Below are 27,088 nucleotides of genomic sequence, written 5' to 3'. Positions count from 1 at the left end.
AATTTCAGCCTAGTTATTTCTGTGTCTCTGAATGTGATAGAACGGATCACTAGGGGTTAATAAGAGTTGCCAAAATTATTTTTTTAGATGGGAGTTTTTAAGTTGATGAATTCGTTTTATTTTTACAAAGTTCAGAGTGTATTTATTTATTTTGAGAGTCTTAACAACCTAAGATATTGTTTAGGGACCTTAAAGGATATGAAGGAATTGAGCTGAGTTTTTTTTTAAGAAAATTTTTTCTCTCAACTCTAGGAAAGGAAAGTTCATTGTGGTATCATGCCAGTTACAACGTTACTTACACAAGTTTTAAGTGATATTAGCGATATCAGCGATCTTAGTAATTTTTAAAGTAGGTTGTTTCCTGTTCTATAAATACATAGAAAATTATTGGTTTTTACAACCTCTTTTCTGATAAAAGAATGACTGAACTATCATTTCACTGCTCTGTAATTAAATTTGGGTGCAGAGTACTTATAATAATTCTAGTCAATTTCACACACCTAATGTTACTACCACCTAAAAAGAATTTTCTCTCAGGCTGCTTTGCCAGCTACATCTTCATTCTTGTATCTAAAAAAACCTAATTATAATATAGGTAGGAAATGTTTTTAAAATTCCAATTATATTTCCAATCTTTTGCCATAGTGATATGTTATCATTGAAGAAAAATATGCCAACTACAATCTGGTTACCTCAAAATTTGACTTGACATAAAGATGATGGTATCAACAGACATTTTTAGAACTTCATATTTTAATTCAAGTTTTTCATGTTCTATAATAAAAATATAAAAATACAAGCTCCCTCTTGTGGGTAAAATTACCACCTGTGAATTTCTGTGTCACCCAAATATATGATATGACAAAATTTCACTGTTCCACTTAGTAAACACAATTGTGGTAGTAGTGTAGTCTCTTTACAGTTGGGCAGATGAGACAATTCACTTAACTAAAAAAAAAAAAAAAAAGTGGAGTTTGTGGTATTTTTTCTAAGTACAATTTTTTATGGAAATACATTTTTAAAAATCCACTGACTATATATAGACAGCCTTTATTCTACTTCAGCAACATACTTTCCCATGTTAAAAGTTTTTTGTTGTTGTTTTGGTTGGCTTTTGTTTGTTTGCTTTTTTGAGATGGGGTCTCATTTTGGTGCCCAGGCTGAAGTGCAGTGACGCAACCACAGCTTACTGCAATCTCAACCTCCTGGACTCAAGCAGTCCTCTCACCTCATTCTCCCAAATAGCTGGGACTACAGATGCATGCCACCATGCTTAGCTAATTTTTAAATTTTTTGTAGAGCTGGAGTCTCAGTGTTGCCCATGCTAGTCTTGAACTCCTGGGTTCAAGTAATACTTTTGCTGCAGCCTCCCAGAGTGCTGGGATTACAGGCGTGAGTCATCATACCCAGCCTGATGTTCAAAGTTTTTAATGATAATTTTTCTCTTTGTGGAATATTCTTCAATGAAGTAATGAGTAAACTAATAAAGTAATGTGGATTCTTCTCTTTGTCAACATTGTGGCACTTGAATTTCTGTGCTTCCTAACAAAAGTTCTGATTTTGGAATGGAGTAAAATGCTTCTATACGAGGCATGCTCCAGGAAGATATAGTATGGTAATAAAACTATTCAAATACTGTAAACCTTGTGATCAAAACTGAATAATCAGTGATGATATAAAAATAAACACCCAAGAGATTACTCAATTTCCCTTGAATTGGACTAATAGCGGAGCGACTGAGCCAGAATCAAGGCTGTGGCTCCTACCGTGTACAGGTTCCTTGCTTTCATAAGTCTGATTCTTGGGAATCTCAACAGATTGTCAGGGCCGATTTTTGTTCAGCCTAGGAAAATTGGTAACAAAGCCAGAATTTTATTCACTCATGATAGTGGCAAGAGCACTTTCTGAAGTTGAGCTGAGCACGGCACTCAGAGAAATACATAGCAGTGATGGAATGAAATGAAAAATAGCTGAACATTTAACAATTACTGTGTTGACCATTGCTGTTATATGTTTAAATGGGCTCAAAGAAGAGACCTAAGAGGACACCTGAAGCTGTCTCATGAATCATTTCGAGCAGCAAGAATCTACCTTAGTTTAGCCTGTCCTAAAGCATCTGCAGGATATTTACATTAAAATTGGACCACAACAACTACTGAGTTTTTAGATTAATTGTGGTGGCTTTATAATGCCAAGATAATACCCCTTCTTCCACAAACCATAATTTTATTACATTTATATATGTAAATTTACATTTAAATATATATTTATATATTTAATATATAAATATAAATTTATATACATATAAATTATATACATATAAATATATATTTATATATTTAAATGTAAATTTACATATATATTTATATATTTAAATGTAAATTTACATATATATAATGGTTTATCAATTTACATATATAAATATAAATTTCTTTTGAAAACCTTACACATTTTCTATTTTCAAGAGTCATATGTTCATATTTACTAAATAAAACAATGCACTGTTAATGGTCTACTTTTATTTTTCCAGCTTTCCTCTTGCTGATGACATGATTCCTGTTTGAATCTGTTGACAAGATTCTGAAAGCTGAACAGAGAATTCTGGCACTGCACTGGGTAGGAAAAAGGTATATTCATAAAACACATAATAACACTTTTGAAAAATTGATAACTATTCTATTTCACAAAAATGGAAGTTTATATGCTTTCTCTTATTTTTAATTTATAAGTAAAAATATATAAAACATATGCATATAAAAGTATAGTACATAGTCTTTTATATTCAGATGACAACTGGCTTTTTAATTATGATTTTGAGACTCATTATGATGGTAATGTCTCTAAACTGGCAGATGATAGCAACATTTCTTTTCTTTTCTTTTTCTTAATGAGATACACTTTTTCTGAAGTTGTGAAAGCTTTTTTCTCCACTGAAAAATGTTTTTTGAAACATTTGTTGCTACTTTTTTGTTGTTGCTTCAAAATAAATATTTGGGATTGCAATGGATAGGTCACATATTTTAGAAAAATTTCTATAGGCTATTAAGTATTCCAGGGTATGATTCTGTTAATACATACGAAAATGTAATATTGCTGAAGCCAGACAAATATTTTCTAATTTACTGACAGAAACATTCCATGGGCATCTATCTGTGTGTGCATGAAATCCCTGTTTGTCTTTTCAAAAATGTTATACTCTTGGGAACAGGCACTGAAAGTTTGACCACAGATCTAGAGTTGAAAATCCTTTTCTAATTTATTGATTGACTAGTCATCATGCAGGTAACTGCAGAAAAGGATGAAAGGAAGGAATTCTGTTGTTCAGGAGAAGTTTGTCACCAGTAAGATTGAAAGGGAAATCTCCTTTCGTTGATACCTGAAAAGAATAATGAAACACTGTTCATCTTGCATAATGACTTAAAGCTCATTTATTCAGAAATCTGCTCTTACAGTGTTATGACTTATGTTCCCACCATTTCAAGATGCAAGTGTATGTGTGAAAACCCTTAGAATTAATGGTAGTGGTTACCTCTTTTAAAAACAAAATTGTTAAAATCCCAAACAGTATTATTAAAATACTTATAACTCAGGCTTCATATATTCACAGACAAATGAAACAATATAATATAGAAGAAAACATAGCGAATAATGGATTTTTATACTAACAAAAGTGGAATAAGTCACAACCAAATTATTCCAAACAAAAATTCTATAGGTTTACAGGCAAAAATACCAATATAAATAAAATTAAAAGGCAAATGACAAACTGAGACTACTGCTTCTAATAAATATGGCAAACATTAAATGTAAAGAGCAGTTATAAGAAAGACAGTGATATCTTAATTTAAAAGATAATGAGATACAAGAACAAGTAGTTAATAAGGAATATAACTAATACAAAAGGTAATAAAAGGAATGCAAAGCTATGCCTCACTTATCTAACTAGGGGAGAGTAATTTGGAATAATAATAATATAACAAGAATGTAGAGAGATGGACATTTTCAACAATTTTGGGGAAACCTTGTGTTTGTTCAACTTTCCAGGAAGGAATTTGGCCACTTCTGTAAACAGCCTTAAATGTTGTCAAAGCATTCTATGTAACATTCCCATGCTATTAGTTTGGAAGATATTTAGTTGCAAGTGATCCAGATCCAACATAACAGTTTAAACAAGATAAAATTTTATATTTCTTTTAAGTTAATTTTCATATATTTATAAGTGGAAGATTTTAGATAGATTTAACTGTTCAGCAGTAGAGCAGTGGCTAAATAAATTTGAATACATTTATATGATGGGATATCCTGCAACCAGAATGAAATGAGTATTTCATTTGATATTTAAAATTTGATATTTGGTATTTAAAATTCTTTTCTAAAGAATTTTAAAAGACATAAAATTATGCATAATGCAATGTTAAATTAAAAAATCAGAGTCTACACTAAAGATATACTATGTTTCCAAGTTTGTGGGTATTTATGTACACACATGTATGCACATATATATCTCTACATGTGCATATATATTACAAACACAGAAAAATTAATAGAAAAAATAATAAACACATCGAATATAATTAACTCTGGATAATGGACTCATGAGAAGTTTTAATTTTCCTCATAGTTTACAGAGTTTTTAAATAGTATAATTTAATATTAAAATTTGAGAAATATAAAAGGTGTGGATTTTCAGAAGGTATATATAAGCTGCTAAGTGCCCCTGTTTGTTAAGACACTATATATATCTCTGTTCAAGGAGAGTTGAAACAGCCCAGCACCCATCCTTTTGGTTACTTTTTCCCAAAGTCGGGTTGAAATGAGGATTCCTGCTCAGTAGATCCATACAACCACTTAGACATCTTGATCATATTGCAGCCTGGCTGCCTCTTTTAGCTTAGGGCAGTTCAAGGTACCGTGCTACAGTTCAGTGGCATTGGATAAACACATGAAGGCTTCTGGTATGCATGCCTATTTCAAAGGCACAAAGCACAACTTGTGTATAAGTGGAAGAGGTTGAGTACTGCAGTTCTGGATTAAGATTTTTTTTAAGTATTATGTTACCTTAGAATATTAGAAGAGTGAGAATCTAACTCTAAGATGAGTGAAAAATCACAATTTGATAGCAATGTGAGAAAATATTGTGGAGATGACAGTGAAAGCTTTTTTTTTTTTTCCTTTCAAAACCTAAACTGACTTTACTCTTTGAACTTGTAAGAGACACATGATGTATGATGTTTGGAAGCATAGACGTTGGAGACAGATTGTTTGGGTCTGTCTCCTAATTGTACCACTTATACCTGTTTACTTTTGGGTTTGTTCCCTAACTGCTATTGCTCAGACTTCTCATGTGTCAGAGGTAAATAATAATGGAAAACATTTTACCATGCAAATGGATACTATGTGGACACTGGTGTGACTAGTGTTTAAAGTTCATTAAGCAAAATAGACTTTAAAGCCCAAATAATTACTAGAGATAGAGTCACTTTATAAATGATTGAAGTTTCAATTCAATAGGAAGACAGAATAATTTTAAATCTCAATGCCCCTAATAACATAATCTTGAAGTGTATTAAGAAATAATTGATAGAACAATAAGAGAAATAAACAACTGTATAATAGCAGTGATATTAATTCACTTGTCTTAGTAATTGATACAATAAAATAGAAAAATTGGTGAGATTTAGTTGAATGGCAAAATTAAGAAACATGACCTTATGGATATATGTAGAACCTTGCATACAACTGTAAAATTTACATTATTGTCAAGCACATAAGAGACAATGATAAACATTGACCATATTCTAAGTCAATGAATATCTTATTAAATTAAGCCTCAACCATTTTCCAAGAATTAAAGTTGTACCACAATGAAATGAAGCTGCAAACAGAAATAGAGCTAGGAATATAGTTTCACAATTAAAAAGAAATCACAACGGAAACTAGAAAGTTTTTAGACTAAACAATAATAGATATCCTACATATAACAATTACAGAATGCCTATAAGAAGTATTTACTGGGAAATTTATAACCTAAATGAACATATTATAAAAGCAAAGGGCAAAAATTTATAGGCCAAGAATTCCTCTCAAGAAGTTATAAAACAACAAAATAAACTCAGTGTAATAAAAGGAAGAAATTAATTAAAGTAAGAACAAAATTAACAAGGTGGAAAACAGTCGTACAACAAAGAGGACTAAGAAAGCCAAAAAACCGATTGTTGGAAAAGGTGAATAAATGTTTCAAACCTCTGATGAGACTGAGCTAAAATGCAAGAGAAATGGGCAGATTACCAATATCAGTATTGAAAAAGGAAGCACCACAACAGATGTGCAGATATCAAACAGCTGGTAAGAAATACGTATAAATTTTTTTGGGGTAAATATAAAGAGTTGGATGAATGGGAACATTTCTAGAAAAATATAATGCCAAAATTTGCTGAAGTGAAGTAGAGAACTTGAATAGTTCTATAACTATAAAGGAAATTTAATTCAGTAATCAAAAATCGTCCTATAAAGCAAAAGCAAAATCTTGACCAAGATGACTTTGCAGGCAAATTCAAGGAAGAAATAAGTCTAATCTTTTTTTTGAGACCGCGTCTCACTGGGTGGCCCAGGCTGGAGTGCAGTGGCTTGATCTTGGCTCACTGCAACCTCTGCCTTGCAGGTTCAAGCGATTCTTGTGCCTCAGCCTCCCAAGTAGCTGGTATTACAGGCACATGTCACCACGCTTAACAGGCACATGTCACCATGCTTGGCTGATTTCTTTTATACTTTTAGTAGAGACGGGGTTTTACTATGTTGGCCAGGCTGGTCTCAAACTCCTGACCTCAAGTGATCCACCCGCCTTGGCATCCCAAAGTGCTGGGATTACCGGCGTGAGCCACTGCACTCAGCCAAAGTCTAATGTTACATAATTTTTTTTTTTTCAAAAGATAGAAGAGGTAACAATCCGAATTCATTTTATAATTATCATATAATTTTCATACCAAAGCTGATGAGAATAGTATGAAAAAGGACTTACAGGCCAATTCCTCTTGTGATTATAAGTGGAAATATCCTCAACAGAATATTAGCAATTCAAATTTGGCAATATATAAAACAAAAATTTAATCATGTAATCATTTAATATAAAATTATGACCAAGTTGGTTTATTCCAGAAATACGAGGTTTGATAATATGTAAAAAAATAAACAATTTAATACAGATTAAAACAGTCATATGATCATTTCAATAAATGCAGGGAAGGCATTTAATAAATTTCAACATCTGTTTCTTGTATTAAAAATTTTTTGGAAAACTAAAAGCAGGGAGGAACTTCCTTAATGTGATATAAAATACATACAGCAAAGATAAATCGTAATAGTAAAATGTTAAAGGCTTTCCTTCTGTGTTCAAGAACAAGACAAGGATATTTGCTATCACCCCTGCTATTTAGTATTTTTCTAGAAATCCTAGTCAATGCAGTAAAGAAAGATAAGGAAATAAAGTTATTAGGGTTGAAAAAGAAACAACTAACTGTCGTTATTGGCACACGATATGAGTTAATAAGACAATTTTGCAAGACTGATGCATATAATATAGTATAATGTACAGTTTTTCTATATATCAGCATCATTTTTTCTAGTTTCTGGTAATAAGAGATGCACAATATTTCTATGGGGAAAATTGTGAAACATTATTAAGTAATATTTTCTAAGGCTGATATGAATGATGAGATATACCATATTCATGCATTGAAAAGATCCAATATTGTAAAGATGTCTCTTTCTCCCTTATTGATTTATAAGTACCATGCCATCACAATAAATATTCTGTTTTTGTCTTTGTTTCTTGTTATCTGTACATTGTGTGTGTGTGTGTGTTTGTGTGTGTGTGTGAAATGTCACAAGTTAATTCTAAAATGTGAAAGGCAAAAGATAGTCAAGATACTCTTTATAAAGGAGCAATGGGTAGGAAGACTTGCCCTACAGATTTTATTGAGCTCCGTTAATTCAGAAAGTATGGCATTCCTGCATGGATAGACAAGTAGGCAAATGAGAGACAATAGAGAAGTCAGACTCTTGCAAATATGGATACTTTATTTCTAATAAGGGCAGTCCTTTAAAGTGGAGAAATAAATTTTTAATACGTGGATACTGAGAAAATTCATTTTCCATGTAAAAAATAAGATTGGATCTCTACTTCACATCACACAGAAAAATCAATTTTAGTTGGCCGAAACCTAAGTGTAAGGGACAGAACAATATTGACAGACTCTAAGATCATAACCTGGGAATATGGCTTAGGAGTAGAGAAGGATTCTTTAAGCCAAAAAAGCACACAACACATTTTCTTGTTGTTGTTTATCAGAAAACGCCATAAAAAGAGTGAAAAACAGGACCTAGAGTAATAGAATAAATTTCAAAAACATCATTGACAAGGTTGGTATTCAGAATTGATTTTTAAAAAACTACAAGTCGTTGTTAAAGTTCACATAGTCCAGTAGAAAAAGGCAAAAGAAGAAATGCAAATGGACAATAATTTGAAAATGCCCAATATATGAAATAATGTCCAAGACATGAAAAAATCCTTAGTCTCAGTAGTAGCCAGGAGATACAACATAAACTCTTAATGAGATTCCACTACACATGCCTCAGAATAGAGAAAAGTAGAACGTCTAGCAGTTCAAAGCGTTGACAAGGTTGGAGAGCAATAGCAACACTCATCAAGGGCTTGTTGGGATGTAAGTTGGAACAACTACTTTTAGATACAGTACCTAGTAAAGTTGAAATTTATAGCCCTTGCTTAAGCAATAGCAATTTTATTATTCCTAGAGATAAATATCCTAGAGAAATATGTGTATATATGTGTCAGAAGAAATCTACAAGATGGTTTACATGAGAAATATTTGTATTTGCCAAAAAATCCGGAAATAACTCAGCTGTAATCAGCAAGTTGGAAAATTATAGAACAATCGTACAATGACATGTGAAGTATTGAAAATGGAAGAATCTTAGTGCTGTAATTAATATTAGCTGGAAAAATCAAGACACATCAGAATACAGACAGGATGATTCTAGGCCAACTAAATTATATCATTTAGGAACACACTGTAGATAGGAAGACTAAAGACAAGCAAGAAATACTAGTGTAAAAGCCAGGGAGTGCTGATATCTACGAATGAGGAAAGAGGTTGAGGTCAGGGTGCAGAATTTGTGTCCAGGAACACTTCTAACTCAAGAGAGAGTGCCAGTAATGACCTGTGTGGTGCTTCCATGGGCATGTGCTTTATTACTATGTGTTAAACTGAACATATTCTGTACATATATCTCATGATAGATAAATCTTAAAATAATAGAGCAAATAGTTGATAGATTTCATTAATTTTTTTGTGGTGTTTTATGCTTTAAGTGGGAGAAATATCCTGGCAAATAGTATAAATTAAATGGAGACATCTTCAAAATTAAGTAAAATAATTGAAGGTTCTTATAAAGAGTTCCCCACATTAGGCCAGGCGTGGTGCTTACACTTGTAATCCCAGCACTTTGGGAGGCTGAGGCAGGTGGATCACGAGCTCAGGAGTTCAAGACCAGCCTGGCTAAGATGGTGAAACCCTGTCTCTACTAAAAATACAAAAATTAGCTGGGTGTGATGGTGGGTGCCTGTAATCTCAGCCACTCGGGAGGCTAAGGCAGAGAATTGCTTGAACCCGGGAGGTGGAGGTTGCAGTGAGCTGAGATCGTGCCACTGCACTCCAGCCTGGACGACAAAGTGAGACTCTGTCTCAAAAAAAGAAAAAGAGTTTCCCACATTAGAAATGAACAAAAATAGGATACTAAAATAAGCATTTATTCTGTCCAGTATTCTGGAAAAGAATACCAGGCTGGGCATGGTGGCTCATGCCAGTAATTCCAGGATTTGGGGAGACTGAGGCAGGAAGATGCCTTGAGCTCAGGAGTTTTGAGACCAGCCTAGGTGACATAGGAAGACCTTGTCTCAAAAAAAAAAAAAAAAAAAAAAAAAAAATTGCATGGTGGAACATGCCTGTATTCCCAGCTACTCAGGAAGCTGAGTCAGTAGAATACCTTAAGCCCGGGAGTTCAAGGCTGTAGTGAGCTGCATTCGTGCCAGCGGGGCCACAAAGCAAGACCCTGTCTCAAAAAAAAAAAAAAAAAAAGAATAAAAATAAAGAAATGTGATAAAGGATAGTAGGCATAGAAAGGTATTAGATTGAATGGAATAAAAATGTTTTGAGAACTATAAAGTTATGGACGTTTACATATATTTTGAGTACTTCTCTGTTAAAAATCCTTTCCAACAAATCAATAATAGTCACAAAAAGGCTTAGTTGAACACCATATTATATGCTGAATTGACCAAAACCAACACAACAAAATAAGAAACTTCACATAGGTATTTAAATCCAAGATTTTATGAAGTTAAATTGAGGATAATGATTAGTTATACCATTGGTGTCAGTATATTTTTGTTTTGCTTATCTCTTTCTGTGTTAACATTCTTTTAAAATGTCACTGCATTTATAGTTATTTGCTTTAACCATTTAGCTACTTAATAATTTGTGATCCTAAGTGGTTGTCATTTGTACACGCCTTTTGGTCACCTTTCTCTTTTACTTGCAAATAAGCAAGCTCTTTGCTTTAACTATTTATCAAATCCAATCACTTTTTTCCCTCAGTCACCCTAATCTATAAAGTAAAATGCTTTATTGCTTGAAAAAGGAAAATAATCCCAATATACTGTAAATTGTCAAGTGAGTTCTATATAATTAAAGATTACCCTGCAATATACAATTTTTAAGGCATTTATCCCGACAGGGTTCACTGGCCTTTGAGAATGAGCCACTTTGTTGACAAATCTATCATCTAAATTGTGCAACATTAATGAGAACTCTGAATAGCACACTGTTACATTTTAATGGGGATGGCAGCTAAAAAATATGCACACACCAAAACAAAATACTGAATATGACTGAAATTGATTTTTAAAAGGTCTGCCACCTGTAGATAAAAATGTGCATTACTCTGAACACATAATAATTAACAAGAATGAAAGACCTTGGCCAAATCCAATGACCCTCTGAAATAAAAATCCTGGTTATTACTTTAATAAAGAAGGCACAGATTTTAGGTTTCACAAATAAAGGCTCCTGATGCTACATACCTGTGCACCTAATTGTTTCTGCTCTACAATTTCATCCACATTTCTCTTGTAACATATGGTAGAATTGATTCCTGAAAGTAGTCTTTGGATGTACATCCTTTGTTTCTTAATAATTCATTATATGATCGTATATCTTCTGAAAGGTGTAACATTTTTGTTTTAGTCTATTTCTATTTCTCATTGTCTTTCAGAACCTTTAAAAATCGTTGTAAATTGTTTCTTATTGTACACGTAAATCTCTTGAGTAAGACTCCTTTTTTTAATATACTTTCAGCTTGGTCTCACCAAGATAATGAAGCATTTTCAGTAAAACACCATGCAAAGCAGGCTAAAGGAATACTTAAATCTAATGCTACCATACCCTTATAATTTTTTTCTTAACACAACATTATTTGTTTAAATGCCTGATTATACTTGATTGTCTTCGTGCTCTACATACAAATATTTTATCTGAATAGGTTAGCATAAAATTATTAGACTTATTTTCTGGGTGTTTCAAGTGTATGTACATATAATTCACTGGGAGAGTTTTACTAGCACACTTTTGAATTATGGAGTTAATTTCAAAACGTACATCAACTTAAGTAACATAATGCCATCTCAGTAGAAATGCTTCATTTTCCTGATCTTGGAACTAGGTATTGCCACTTGAGTAGCCAATACTGATCCACTTGAGGCAGCCCTCAAACCCTAGCCTGGACGAATATAATGGTCTTCTGTACAGTTTTTTTTGCTATGGCTTTTCAGCTTCCTCATTGATTAAAAATATGTGAGAATCTCTCAAAAGTTATGGGACAATTTGAGTTTTATTACTTTTTAAAAGTCAGATGAGAAAATCTGCTCCTTAAGAATATAATAACAATTGCATAAGCATCATTCTGTTGTCCAGCAATCATTTGTAATGAAGAGGATTTTTACTTCCAAATAAAATAATACATGAACTTTTGACTAAAAGCCTTTAACATAATATATGTGAACAAGCAATTGCTTATTTTTTGTCTTTCTTTAGAAAGACAAAGAAGTTGTCCTAACAAGAATAATTTAAGTAAAAACCATGAACCCAAACTGTTTTCATAGTACTTTCTGCAAAGTTAGAGTACAGAAATTCTAGATTATTTATCATGTCAGTGGAAGTGTTGCTCACAGTCATATTCTGTAAATGCAAATATATTTTGCATACATAAGTGAGGTTAAAGTGCTGAGATTAATTTTAAAATGAATGTAAAAGTATTCCCTAATTCATAATTATGAATTGTGTTTTTTATTTTCTTACATAATGCTCATATCTATGCATCTTTTAGATAATTTGTGAAAGTAACTTACATTGTATGAGTCATTGGTGTTTTATAATATTCTATGATATAGCAAAATATAAACATGATGTTTGGACTATAATTAGGGAATTTAACTCCCCTCACAACATGGTAAGGTTTTTGTTTGTTTGTTTTGTTTTGTTTTTGAGACAGGGTCTTGCTCCGTTGCCCAGGCTGGAGTGCAGTGATGTCATCTTGGCTCACTGCAACCTTGATCTCCTGGGCTCAAGTGTTCCTCCCACCTCAGCCTCCTGAGTGGCACAAGTGTTATCCTAGACATGTCAAATCTTTGTGACAGACATGGTTTCAAGGCAGATTTATAAGTATTTAGAAAAACGTTACAATTTTATACCATTACCAATATGAATTCTAGAAGGATTAGAGATTTAAATTCTCATCAAAAGAAACCATAAAAATACTAAGAGACAGTGTTGGTGAATAGAAGTAGGAGGAGGGTTGAAAGTCCTTTTAAAGCATTACACCAAAGGTGATAATCACCAAAGAAAAATTGTGATAGGTTTGATCACATAAATGAAAAAGCTTCTTTGCATCTTAAATGATAAGACTGGCAGACAAATGGAAATCTAAGAAATATATTTGCAGTACATTAGGCGGAACAACCTAAATTGCCATTTTTGTTAAAACTGGTCAACTATTGGCATTTTCCTATGTTCAACAGATGCAATTAGGATATCATTTAAACTGCTTACAAATGAATAGAAATAGAAATAATAGAAATATTCAGTTAATAGGAGGAAGTTAAATGAAGAATAAACATAAAATGTTTGATTTTTATAAATCATCAAGTAATTCAAATTAAATTGAGATCATAGTTCACTTAGCAAATTGGTGAAGATTAAAAATGCCACAGTAACCAATGCTGAAGAAATTCCGGTGAGATGAAGCCTCTCACTTTCTGTGTCCAGTTGTGTCAATTGTGTTACTGTACCAGAACCATTTCACACAGTGCACATTAAAAGTCTGTTAATGTTGATGCTTATGCTTCTAGCAATTTGCCATATATATATTATCATATGTGCGTGTATGTCGGTATATATTTATATTTAGTTATACATATATGCACGTTTATAGCTAAAGGGATATAGTGTTAATAGTAACACAAAACTGAAAACCTGTTTATTAAAAATGGGCCCTGGGCCAGGCACAGTGGCTTAGCCTTTAGTAATTCTAGCACGTTGGGAGGCTGAGGCAGCTGGATCACTTGAGTCCAGGAGTTCGAAACCAGCCTGGGCAACATGGTGAAACCCCATCTCCACCAAAATAAAACACACACACACACACACACACACACACACACACACACACACACACACACATTAGCTGGCATGATGGCATACACCTGTAGTCCCAGCTCCTCAGGAGATCAAGACTGCAGTGAGCCATGATCATGCCACTGCACTCCAACTTGGGTGATAAAATGCAACCTTGTGTCAAGAAATATAAGACTCTGGTTAGATAAATTGTGGTGGTCGTGTATGATGCAATATTAATTTTACTGAAAAATAATTTTATAATGACATGAGAAACCACACCAGAGTCATAGGAAATATTCAAGAAATATTGGTTGAATGAGTACATATGTGCACATGCATGCATAGAACAAGAGTGTATAGATAACACTAAAATGCTTTACCTACACTATATAGGATTATAGCTGATTTCAAAATTTATTCTTCTCAATTGTATGTTTCAGCTACATTTCTTTAATGAACACATATTACTTTCATTTTAAGAAAAATGCATATCACTTTTAAACCATAAATATCAATGTAGTAGTCTTTATATATTATTTTTCTTTTCTTTTTTTGAGATGGACTCTCACTCTGTTGCCCAGGCTGGAGTACAGTGGCACGACCTCAGCTCACTACAATCTCCGCTTCCTGGACTGAAGTGATTTTCCCACCTCAGCCTCACAAATAGCTAAGACTGAAGGCACATGTCACCACTCTCAGATAACTTTTTTGTATTTTTTGTAGAGACGGAGTGTTGCCATGTTGCCTAGGCTAGTCTCGAACTCCTGTGCTCAAGGGCCCGGCTCAACTTACCAAAATGTTAAGATTACGGGCGTGAGCCACCACACCTGGCCATATTATTTCTAATGACAGCATTTTCTGTATACATAGATTACTATTTCAACTTAGAATCTAAGTTATTTCTTCTAATTTTTTAATTAGAGAAAATCTAGAGGAACAAATTGTTTTTCGAAAATTTCAATATATTGAAACTCAAGTCTACATGGCAGAATAATATGCTATAACAGTGATAACAAGTTCATCCAAGATTTGCTCAGAAAATCCCCATGGTAAGTTGGGGGACACACTGCTTCTGGAGACAGCAGGCTTTCGGGTTGATATGCCTCCCCTAGTTGGGTAGTTCTTCCTGTTGTATCAACTTTTGCCTTAATTTGAATTCAACTGGGTCTCCCTGTCACTGAGAACAATACTCCAGATTTGAGATTTTTGGAATACTTTGAAAATAAATTCAGCATCCTTTATAATAGACATCATCCGTTATTGTAATATTCAACTTTTGAAAACTCAAATCCCTCTACCACTCTTCTAGTGTTTTTGTAGTCACTTTTTCCTTTATTAATGAAGCAGTTATCTCATGAGCATAATTCATATCCATGAATTTACAGATACATTTACAGAGGGATTTTTTAAGGCTCTGCATTTCCACCTTTTCCCCACACTTTTGTAACCAAATGCCTTAATTTGAAGACGTGATTATTCTAACGAAAGGATGCAGAGGATGAAGCAAATTATTAAAATAAAGATAAATACATTTGATAACTTATTCAAATGAACTCACCTATTTGACTCTAAAGGACTCCTTTACAAAATGAATTCTGTGTTCTTCCATTGTTCAACACACCTCAGACGGTGAGGTTTAAATAAGTGAGTTTTAGTACATGAACATTTTTCTATTTTTAAACTTCATACTGATATCAAAATTCATAGACAAATATTTACATTTTAGGAAAAATATAACTTTTCAAGAGCAAGAAAAAATTTTTTAAAAGAAAATGTATGTATAGATTTACTAGCTATTTTAGAAAGGAGTGACAGAAATTTAATAGAACTCAATGTGTTGATTTATCCTTAAATAGCAAATACCAAGATATCTATCTAATGCCATTGGAATACAAAAGAATAGGCTAAACTGGACAGAAATGGAAGCTCAAAGCAAAGGTTAACCTTTTAAAAACTCTTGTCATATCTTTATTCCCTCACCTCTCCCTTATGTTTTAAGAGTATTGTTATTTAAAAGTAAAAAGAAAAAAGTCATGTCAGTATATTTAAATTACATTAAAAATCAAGCCTGAAGACTATGAGGCAGAAATAATCCAACTATTATTTCTGGTGTAAAAAGTTTTTGGAATAACATCATTTGCCCAGAAGCTGTTTTCCAACCTAATAACTCTTGGAATTATGATCTAAATTTCTAGAAGATTAAGGCTGCATAACTACTAGAAAGTACAAGTGTGCAGGAATGCCAGCAGAGGAGAAATCTGATTTGAAATTTCTTTGAGGAACTTCCAGTTTGAAACAGTACCCCTGTGAAAGTAGAAATGCTACGTAGGTAAATATTGCTCAGCAAATTTATCTTAGTTACATATATACTGAGTACTTGCATAGCAATCTCCAAGATGTTCATTACCTAAGATTTTAATCTATTTTTTTATTTTAACGATATGCTTAGGTTATCTTTGAACAAAGTGCTCAAAATGTACAGAAACAAAGATTATTAATATATTCTGTATTGTTTCATCTTCCTTTTAGTAATTTCTTGTTTTTGTTTTTTTTTTTGTTTTTTTTTTTTTGAGACGGAGTCTCGCTCTGTCGCCCAGGCTGGAGTGCAGTGACACGGCCTCGGTTCGCTGCAAGCTCCGCCCTCTGGGTTCACGCCATTCTCATGCCTCAGCCTCCCGAGCAGCTGGGACTACAGGCCCCCGCCACCACGCCCGGCTAATTTTTTTGTGTTTTTAGTAGAGACGGGGTTTCACCGTGTTAGCCAGGATGGTCTCGATCTCCTGACCTCATGATCCACCCACCTGGGCCTCCCAAAGTGCTGGGATTACAGGTGTGAGCCACCACACCCGGCCTAGTAATTTCTTCCTTTTTTTAAGATGGAGTCTTGCTCTGTCAGCCAGGCTGGAGTGCAGTGGTGCAATCTTGGCTCACTGAAACCTCTGCCTCCCGGTTCAAGCAATTCTCCTGTCTCAGCCTCTTGAGTAGCTGGGGCTACAGGCACCCGCCATCATGTCCGGCTAATTTTTTCCTTTTTTTTTTGTAGAGACAAGGTTTCACCATGTTGGCCAGTCTGGCCTCGAACTCCTGACCTCAGGTGATCTGCCCACCTCAGCCTCCCAGAGTGCTGGGATTACAGGCATGAGCCACTGCGCGCAGCCCAGTAATTTCCTTATAAGACATTTTGGAGGCAATGTATGTATGTTGCACTCCCAGTCTATTGATGGTAATCCCATTTCAGATATGCCTACTACCTATCCTCTCTAGTCTTTTGTCAGAAGTTGTGTCAAGAGTTGGATGGAAAAGGAGGCAGAAAGCTGGTTGTTGCAGAGGACACAAGAATAAGGAAAATGGGACCTTTGTCTTCAAAAATGTTAGAGTCCTGAGGTGGAGCTGGAGGTGAGAGAGGAGAAAATGCATCAGTCCCTCCAGTGAAAGGAAGAATGCAAAGGTTAACAACTCACTTCTGAGCTCTTTGCATCAAGAAGCTGTCCATATTAGGAATGCCAGTTGTCTCAAGATGGGGTCACCTTGCTATGAGTTTAATCGTGGGCGTTTGGTTTAATGTTTGCCCATGTAGATTATCTGAATCCCACTTCTTTTAGAGACAACAATCTCAAATTTATTGCTCCACAACATCTGGGAGAAATCATTGTTTGTCAATGGTGACAAACAATATTTAGGAAAAGTGGTTTGAGGGATATGTGATTCTTTGGAGGTATTTTGAAATCTACCTCTAAACTAAGGCAGACAGGCAAGGAGATGTGTCTTTGAATGCCTTCTAATGACCTCAAGTAAGTGGTTTCTAAGACCTATGTTTAGTGTGGTGTCACTGTCCTTGATTGAGGGCTGCTGTAAGAAAGAGTCCCATACAACTCATTATGCCCATCGAGAATTTCGTTCGTTGCAGAATTGTTTCATTGCAACCTACAGTTTGTAGTCTCTGAGACTCCTTGGGAGAAATTTCTGACTCCTCTTACATGTTATGTTGCCCCTGAGCAGTAGTCTGTTTTTATCTAATGATGCCTGTGAATTGTATACCTAATCGGTACTCTTTTTTGCCATTCACTACTAAAATGGTGCCAAATTTGAAGTCTCCGTAGCCAACGATATAAACATTTATGGAATATATTTACCACAATACAACCTCTCATTTTTATTTTCACGATCTGATATGCTTTTAAAATTGATATTTTTTGGTATATTTCATATATCAGAAACAGAAGAGGTTTCACAGGCTTGGGATGGAGGAAGAAGAGGTTATGGAGTAGAAGCGGGAATCCAAAAAGGCAAAGCTAAGACGATGGTATTTGAGTGGAGCCTTGAATGGTGGAAGTGAGGAGAGAACTGAGACAGGATGCACAAAGGTGCAGAGACAGAAAAAACCGTGTAGTTCAGTTTGGCTCAGAAATATTAAGGCAGTAGCGACACATAAGTCTGTCAATTTCAGGTCATTAAATTCCACCTGCTAATCTTGTCTAATTTGGTGAATAGTGAGGTGCCATTGATTTTTTTTTCCTATAGGGGAAGTGTCAATATTCAGCATATGCTGTGTTTATGGCCTCAAAGATTTTTCTCCTGTGTGGTGTGGTGTGGCTTTGGGGTGGGTAGGTGGGAGTGGATTTTCGAATTCAAGCAACCAAAAGTAAAATGTAATATAGGTTCCCCAACAGAAACTGTGTAAATGCTTTTAACGAGAGTGGGTGTTGGGAGCAATGGTAAATCCAAGTAATACAAATTCAGTGGAGTGATCCTTTGCTACAAAGTCCTTAATGGCTCATATACCCCAAAACTGTTCAGGATGAGTCCATCAGCTACCTTTTCTGCTAAAAATTTTAGTCACATTGACTGGAGTACTACAAAGGGTGAATAATGAAAGTATGAAAAGAGAGTTTTAAAATTTGCTTTTGCTGTAGATATAGTTTTTTTTCCTCTAAAATTTAGTATTTCTTATTCTTTTACATTCTACACGTAAAATCTCAATGACAAGGATAAAGTTAGCATATATTGAACACTCATAAGCATTTTATAAATATTTTACATGTTTGTTTGAACTCATTGAGCCCTCGAAACAAACCTATAAGAATTACTATTATTATCATCATGGTTTTAATTTGGGAATCTGAGGCATGTGCAAATTAAAATGCCCTTGTCCAAGGCTTACACAAGTAGAATTAAATGACCCAACCAGGATGTGAGTCTACATAATCTTACTGCAAAGCTCACACTCTTAATAGTATAGTGCTTCATCAACCCAAAGTTGAGAAATTATTACCTAAATTTCATTTTTTTCCAATGACTAAAAGTATGGATTTCTTATTAATTGGTAAGACTGACTGTTAATCACTTAGAATTTCAGCACTTTAGAAGAAGAAGAGAGCTAAGAGACATGTGATCCAACTTCTCATTCCTTGCAGAAAACCTCTTCACAACATTATGATAGATGACTTCTCTTCATCATAAGTACTTTAAATAAGAAAAAGATATCACTACCTAAGGAAGTCCATTTCACTTTGCAGGAGCTCTGTTAGAAAAGTAACCACCCTAAATCATCTCTCTTCCCCTGTACTATACTCATTAAACATCAATTAAGATGTATTGGTTAGCAATAGGTATATTGTAATAATAATGATGGCTAACATTTATTACATGCTCACTGTGTGCTAGGCACTTTTCTAAATGTTTTTCTATGGATTAACTCTTTTAAGTCATCGTAACAATCCTATGATATTCTACCAAGTTAGAGGAAGGTCAAGTAATTTACCTAAGTTCCCTTTGTAGGTAGTGGAAACGAGATCTCTATTCCCATATAACTCAGTACTAAACTCCAGCTATCTCCTGATTAACAGGTCACCCATCATGCTCCTCGTCAGCGAATCAGTGAAAACGATGCTTCATCATGCTCTTCTCCAGTGTGCCTGTTTTCCACAGATACAGCTTTTATTCTGTTACTTCTTCCTCACTCCCTCTCATACCATCCCCACCCACTCCTCTCATACCATTCCCATCTTACCCTTGGAGTAAGTGAGGAAGGCCTTTTAAGCTTATCTTTCCAAGAAATATTTATTTCTACATCTCTTTGTGCTTGTAATTCTATTTGGGTTTTTTTCTTTACTCTTATTACCACTTCTTAATCTCCAATTCGTCTTTCAAAATCAAATCCAACATCAAACTTCTTCAAGATGACTTTTCTGTAAATAATGAAATAAAGTTCCTCTCCCTTACTAAAATGTTATTTTTTTGAATTATGGAATCTAAGATATACACGATGAACACTAACAGTATTTAGGCTGTTTCAACGTCCCACCGACTATAGAAATTCTTTTATTTTGTTCTTTTATAGATCATCACCCAACTTGAATGTTTTAGTAATGGATATTCGTTACTTATCAAGCCAGCCTGATGCATTGTTGGACACCTATAATACTTAGAAAGTTTTTCCTTTTAATAATTCAAAATTTTCTTCCCTGTAACTGCTTGTCATTGATCTTAGCTGTTTCATTTAATCTATTTCATTGATCATATTCCATTTAGCATTTTGTAGTGTGTTAATTGTATGGTTCTCAAAATTCTGTCTTCAGTAAGTTTGAAAATGCCTTTTACTTAGGAATCACAGTTTATGTTTTTCTATTTCCCTCTGTACCTTACATACATAGCACAGTCTACGTATGCAATAAATACTCAGTAAACAATGCATTGAACTGTGTTAATAGCTCAATATGCGTGTATATGTAAATATATACACACAAATGTATAAATAGGTTTTTCTTAGTTTAGCCTAACATTTAAACACGATAACAGTGCCTGAGAATACCTAATCTACATTTGCAAAACCATGTGCGCGCTCTCTCTCTCGCTCACTTGCTCTCTCTCTCGCTCGCTCTCTTTCTGTCTCTTTCTTGTGCTCCCCAACACTGTTCCACATTGAATATATAGAATGCCAAGTTCCTAAGATGTTCAGCACATTTTATCATACTTTTATGACAAGCATTACTTTTGCACCAACCTAAAAGTACATTAATTAATCTATTTTGCACTGGAGGAAACACCACCAGAAATCTAGATACATTACCTATTGAATGGAAACCTGAAAAGATAGTGTCTTCCATCCTGGAGAGGTAGCCTAGAAGAGTGGTTAAGATGGAGCCTTTGGGCTCACCAGAACTTGACTGCCGTTGTCTAACTGTGCGATCCTGGACAACTTCTGTAACTACTTGTTGCTTAGTTTTTCCATCTCTAAAATTGAGATAATAGTACCTATTTCACAGAGATTTGGACAGTAAATGAATTAATGTATATAAAGTACATAGAGTACATATCTAGACTTCAATATATGTTATTATTGCTAAAAAGCACTCACCTAGTATCTGAAAAAATCTTGTAGCTAAGATGATATAGGAAATAGCTCTAATGATTCCTAGTGATCAACTTTACTTTAGTTTATTTTCCACAATTCCATAGACCTTAATTTTCTTCAAGAGAAATTCTTATGATTTTTGTTTTTTACTGGAACAGCCAGATCAAGAAGCTTTTCTACAGGAGTGATTTCTAACAAATAACAGGTAACTTGCTAACAAATAACAGGTAACTTTTTAATATTATTATTAAGAGTGTTGTTATTAGAAAATGGCTAACAGAATTTAGTTTTATTAGCCAATGGTGATAAAATAATAATGATGTTTTATAATACTTAATAGTTTTCAAGTGCTTTCTTTATGCATGATGTCGTCTAAAATGATAACAATAATTCCCATTTTTCATTGCTGCTCAAAGGTAAACCATGTAACTCACTTTGTTTGTTTGTTTGTTTGTTTGTTTTGTTTTAATCAGGTGAGACTGGCTAAATTCAGGAATGTTTAAGGGTCATGGGCCCAAAGCCAAATATGGCTTAGTTCTCAGAATAAGTGTTTTTGTGTGTGTGTGTGTTTTTTGACGGAGTCTTGCTCTGTTACCAGGCTGGAGTGCAGTGGCACGATCTCGGCTCACTGCAGCCTCCGCCTCCCGGGTTCAAGCGATTCTCCTGCCTCAGCTTCCCAAGTAGCTGGGACTACAGGTGCCCGCCACCGCGCCCAGCTAATTTTTTTTATTTTAGTAGAGACGGGGTTTCACCATGTTAGCCAGGATGGTCTTGATCTCCTGACCTCGTGATCCACTTGCCTCGGCCTCCCAAAGTGCTGGGATTACAGGCGTGAGCCATGGCGCCTGACCAGAATAGGGGCTTTAAAAGAAAATAAAACCGTGTTGTCAGAGGCACTAGTTGTACAATTAAAAGCACCATCAACTGGATCCTTCTGTGGGAGGCTGGAAAGAGGTTTAAATAAAAACTGGAGCTTTGGTCGGGTACGGTGGCTCATCCCAGTAATCCCAGCACTTTGGGAGGCCAAGGTGGGCAGATCACGAGGTCAGGAGTTCGAGACCAGCCTGACCAATATGGTGAAACCCCATCTCTACTAAAAATACAAAAATTAGCCAGTCGTGGTGGTGCGTGCCTGTAATCCTAGCTACTTAGGAGGCTGCGGCAGGAGAATTGCTTGAACCTGGTAGGCAGAGGTTGAAGTGAGCCAAGACTGCGCCACTGCACTCCAGCGTGGGCGACAGAGCAAGATTCTGTTTCAGAAAAAAACAAAACAAAACAAACAAAAAGACCCCTAGAGCTTCAATCTTGTTCTTCTAAAATTTTTGTGACTTAGAGAAATCAGAAATCACCTGGAACAATTTTGTGCATAATATACACATATTTTTGTATGCACCTTTATGTTGTACATGCAAATGTATATAATGAATGTAGGAAGATATTATTTCTGAAAAATTTGTTTCTTCCAAAATACAAAACATATGATCAAATGAGAAAATCATTAAAAATTTAGCAATGATAATTAGGAAATTATGTTTTTCCTAAGGCCTTTCTCTGACTTTTCATTCAACTTAAATACCCTTCTTTGCAGGAAAGAAACATTTAAAACATGGTTCCATTTATTAGGTGTCTGGCCATGACTTTCTGTACCCAGCAACCAAAGCAGGCCACCCAAACCTGTGAAAGTACTTTCCCTTCTATTCACACTTCCAAAGGGTTAACTCAGAAGTGCTCTATTGTATTCCTGATGGTTTTCTCTGCAGAAAGCCCAGTGGGCTCTTTCAAGGGGCTCTAAACAATGAGCTCAGTGAGGCTGTTCTGTCTAATTACTCAAAGACAGGGATGCTAAAGAGGAATTAATGACAGTTGACAAGTGCAATTAATAATTATAGCAAAGCCGGGAGTCATGCAGCAGGCAGATGACAATAACGGGGTAACTGTACATGGCAGTTTTCGTCGGTTTATGCTCTGTGTGTGTGTTTAAAGTGAGAGGCTTTGTGCAGGATGGGCCATGCTTCATGCTGACAGGGGAGAAACTATAATTCTGCAACTCTAATGGATAGTCAGTCATTCCCCACCCACCCTGCCCCTCTTCTCTCTCACTCCCTCTCTCTCTGTTCCCCTCCCTCATTTTCAACTCTTCCAATTTGGTGAAAGAAAGGCAGTGTAACTTAAAACTTAATAGAAAAGAGCTACAGTTAGCTTTCCCTATCAGCTGGTGACAAAGCTGCTTAAAATTCCTGTTGGGCAACTAGAAGGAGAAGGGCCCGGGAAAAGGCGGTCGCAGAAGTGGGATTTCCATATCAAAGGGCAAGCCTTTGGCTCTGAATGGTAATTAAAGTACCCCAATTTCATCTTCGTGGTCAAGCCATGAAAGGGGAAAAAATTAGAGAAAGAATTTTTCAGTCCCTTCAGACTACAGAATGGAAAGCCATAAATTAAATGAAAGCTGAGCTAAAAGGTGTCTAACACTTCAATCTTTGCATCTAATGGAATCTATGATATTTCTCAACCATTTATTCCGTTCACATTTTCCTTCTGCACTGATTATGAAAGATATAATGTCTGCTTACATTTATCTGCCACACATCTCGGGCTTCCCAAGTTTGCATAGCTTATCAGTTTTCATTACACTGCTTTGGCAGCTCAGTCATTGGGGAAGGTTTGCACACTTTGAGCAAACTGACCTGTTTTAAAAATTCCTTCTTTAGGTAACCAAGAAAACATTAACCAACTAGGTCAATTTTTGATATATGTTGGTATGACTTAACAACTTGGGGTTTAAAATGCCGCAGATTTCACTTTTATTTGCTATTAATTGAGCCTCTTTTATTGATTGCTGGGGCCATTTTACTGTCTTTTCTCCAACACTCCCATTTCAAAAGTCATGGCTTTATGAAATAATTATTTTAAATTGAAGTATGGAACTTATAAGCAGTTTCAAATTCGTTAAAAAAGAATTTCTGCCACTTATGTTCCGGGAAAGAAGGACTTAGAAATCTTATTTCATTTTTTGGATGAGATGTTAAACTTGGACCTACCTCTCTATTCATTAAAGATCACAGAGCATTTTTTTTCCGAGTCGAGAAGCCTGGCCAAACTCCAATGTAGATAATTACATTCCACCTACCTAATTCCCTAGCTGCTTTAATTGGAAACAATTCCACTTTACTCTCCATCCCCCTTACTTCTTGTCCTTAAACTGCTTTCTAGTTTGTCAGGCATCTTTCACAAACTGTCATATCTCTTACACCCTCAAAGTACTGTTTTGGAATTGGGGTAAGATAAATTATACAGCCATAGAGTAGTACTTAAAGGTTTGCTAAAAACGTGTAAACCATGCAACTATAACAGTGAATTTCAGCCTACATTCTCAATTATGTTGGACCCAATATTTCTAATAATGGGAAAGCTATTTTCCTAAGAATTAATCCATATATTGTCTAAAGGCAATATTGCCACTTTAGGGGCAACAATTGCTTCTTGGGAGACAACAAAAGCTTACTCTTTTTATGTAGACAGCAAAGACACATATACATATACAGTATATCTAGTGCATTAACATTTCATATTTGGACAATTAGGAAAAACTATTTAAAATGGTTCACTGGGGAAGATGCTAGTGAAAAAACTGGAGAAATACTGATTTAGGCTATTATCTACCCTTGATTTATTGATGGTTCAGGAGAGAAAGAGGGCAGTACCGTTCTTTTTGCATTGCTTTCTTTTCTTGTTTCTCTTCATTTGTTATTGAAGTCTGTGGTATATTAATAGTTGAAGAGCCACTGTGATCTCCTCTTCTGTTTCTTACCTCTTCTTTAGGAGTAAAGTGGGTGGACCAACACAGTGCAATTATGAATGATGGAGACACTAGAAGCTGACAGTAATCCAAGTTCTTAAAAGACAGAAAGAAGAATATAAAATTAAAGCCCAAATGAGAAAGATCATAAATAACATTAAAATATGTTAAACACTGTCTTTGAATTATCATTGAAAAAGTCATAGGAAATATATATATATATATATATTTGAGCAGCCCAAAGAAAAAAGAATATGGACAGTCCCCAACTTATAATAGTTCAACTTAAAATTTTTCCACTTGATAACCCAAGTGATACATATTCAATGGAAACTGTACTTCAAGTACCCATGCTACCTTCTGTTCTTCACTTTCAGTACAATTTTCAATAAATTACATGAAATATTCAGCACTTTATTATGAAAGACTTTGTATTAGATGATTTTTTTTCCCTACTGTAGGCTAATATAGGTGTTTGGAGCATGGGTAAGGAAGGTGAGGCTAAGCTATGGTGTTTGGTAGATTAGATGTATTAGATGTATTTTTTTTTGACTTTTTTTTTTACAACTTACAATGGGTTTGTGAGGACATAAGCCCCTCACAAATCAAGGAGCATCTGTGCTAATGGATTGCAATAGAGATACATTTTCTAACTTGCCTTTCCTGTGACCACCAAGAGAGTATATTGACTCTGGGATATCACAGAACAGTTAAGAATATTTAAAAATTATGTCCCGATGAGACCCATAATCCATCTAGTTCAGTATTGTGCAGTGGTACTAAGAATGTATTCTCTGAATGCATTGTTACCTTGTAGATCAAACAGAAAATGTTGACAACACCTAAACTGTAGCTTTCGAAGCAATGGATGATGATGATGATGTTGATGGTCATTACTTATGTGGCACTCACTGTGAGTCAGGAACTGTTCTAAGCCCTTACACTAATTCACTCAATTCTTTCCAAAACAGTGAGGTACTTACTATTACCATCATCTACATTTTTATAGATGAGGAAATTGAGACACAGATAGTTAAGTAACTTGCCTAAGAATTATTTTGGAACTGAAGGATTACAAGAACATATTGTCTATAAAGCCTTATTAAGACTTTAGAATTCTCTCATTTTCACTTCCATTGCCTTAAGAAGAGTTAAATGCCATAGTAAATAACAGGAAACCTAACGCCATCCTTTCACAGGAAATTTGGGGTTTTCAAGGTTTTATGAGATGGTCTTTTCCATTTTGCCTTCAAAAGACAGAATGTCTTAAAATTTTCACTTTACAATGTGCGCCACATTCCTTCTGCATGATAGCCCATTCAATTATATTGAGACTTAGAAAATTAGTATCTTAAAAGATATTTATATGGGGGTTTCCCACACCTCTTACAAATAGTAACTATGCTCTTGTTTTCCTTTTGTTTTGCCGTTTCCATCTTTGCTTTAAAGACACTGAAAAATATAAATGACTTGAGGGGACTCCCAAAGATGAATAAGGATCAATGGTGTCTTTTCTACTATTTCTAGTTTTGGATTTTCTAGATTAGTCTTCATTTTCTAGATAAGATCCTATGTTGTATCTATGTTAGTATCAATAATCAATAAAAGTTGAATCTTAGATCCCTTTCAAATTATCTGCAAACTTACAGGATAAAGAAGTAAAAAAAAAAAAAAAAAGATGTGCACGTGCTTCTCTGATGATTTTTATGAGGAGCTGAACAAGAATTCAAATATTAATCTTTTTCTCAAACAAAAGTTTATGTCTGAGCAGCTTGGCAGGAATACGCTTGCCTCCTTTCTCTTGGCTTTCTCTTTGTTCCCACTTTTTCCCTCTTTTCTTTTTTTGTCTTTCTTTTCTTATCTCAATGTCTCTGTATCTCTTGTTTCCTAGCTGAAGTGCATCATTTTCTGCTATTGTGCTTAAAAAACTTGGCTGCAGGGGCTCTGAAATGAATAAAAATGTAATCCTCACTGTGCCCATTGTGTGCTCTCATTTGTTTTTGCTGTATCGATTTATCAGCAGAGGGAAATTACTTGCTGGAAGAGAGGATGCCAGTCAGAATGACATTTATTTCATAGTACAAGGAGGCTCTCCAGCGTGTTTCCATGTAACCTAGATATTGGAGCTGTAAAAGGGCTTGTAACAAGGTTTAGTGCTATGATTAGATCGTGTGGAGCACCTTGCTTTCATAA

At 34.8% G+C, this 27,088-nt stretch overlaps 1 protein-coding gene across 20 annotated transcripts in view; it reads left to right on the top strand.

Moving 5' to 3' along the window:
- SOX5 (SRY-box transcription factor 5) overlaps positions 1–27,088 on the top strand; it is a 1,033,147-nt gene that overhangs the window by 282,808 nt on the left and 723,251 nt on the right. For 14 of the 20 annotated variants that reach the window (XM_024449158.2, XM_017019891.2, XM_047429461.1 and 11 more), the window contains one exon: positions 2,531–2,627. The exons of 4 other annotated variants lie outside the window; for them this stretch is intronic. The gene's annotated coding sequence lies outside the window, so the exon portion shown is untranslated. The remainder of the gene's footprint in view (positions 1–2,530; positions 2,628–27,088) is intronic. 2 more of the 20 variants (XM_024449159.2, XM_047429456.1) reach the window with 1 other exon arrangement.

Source organism: Homo sapiens, chromosome 12 (assembly GCF_000001405.40).
Source record: "Homo sapiens chromosome 12, GRCh38.p14 Primary Assembly".
Lineage (NCBI taxonomy): Eukaryota > Metazoa > Chordata > Mammalia > Primates > Hominidae > Homo > Homo sapiens.
This window is presented reverse-complemented; position numbering and strand designations above follow the sequence as displayed.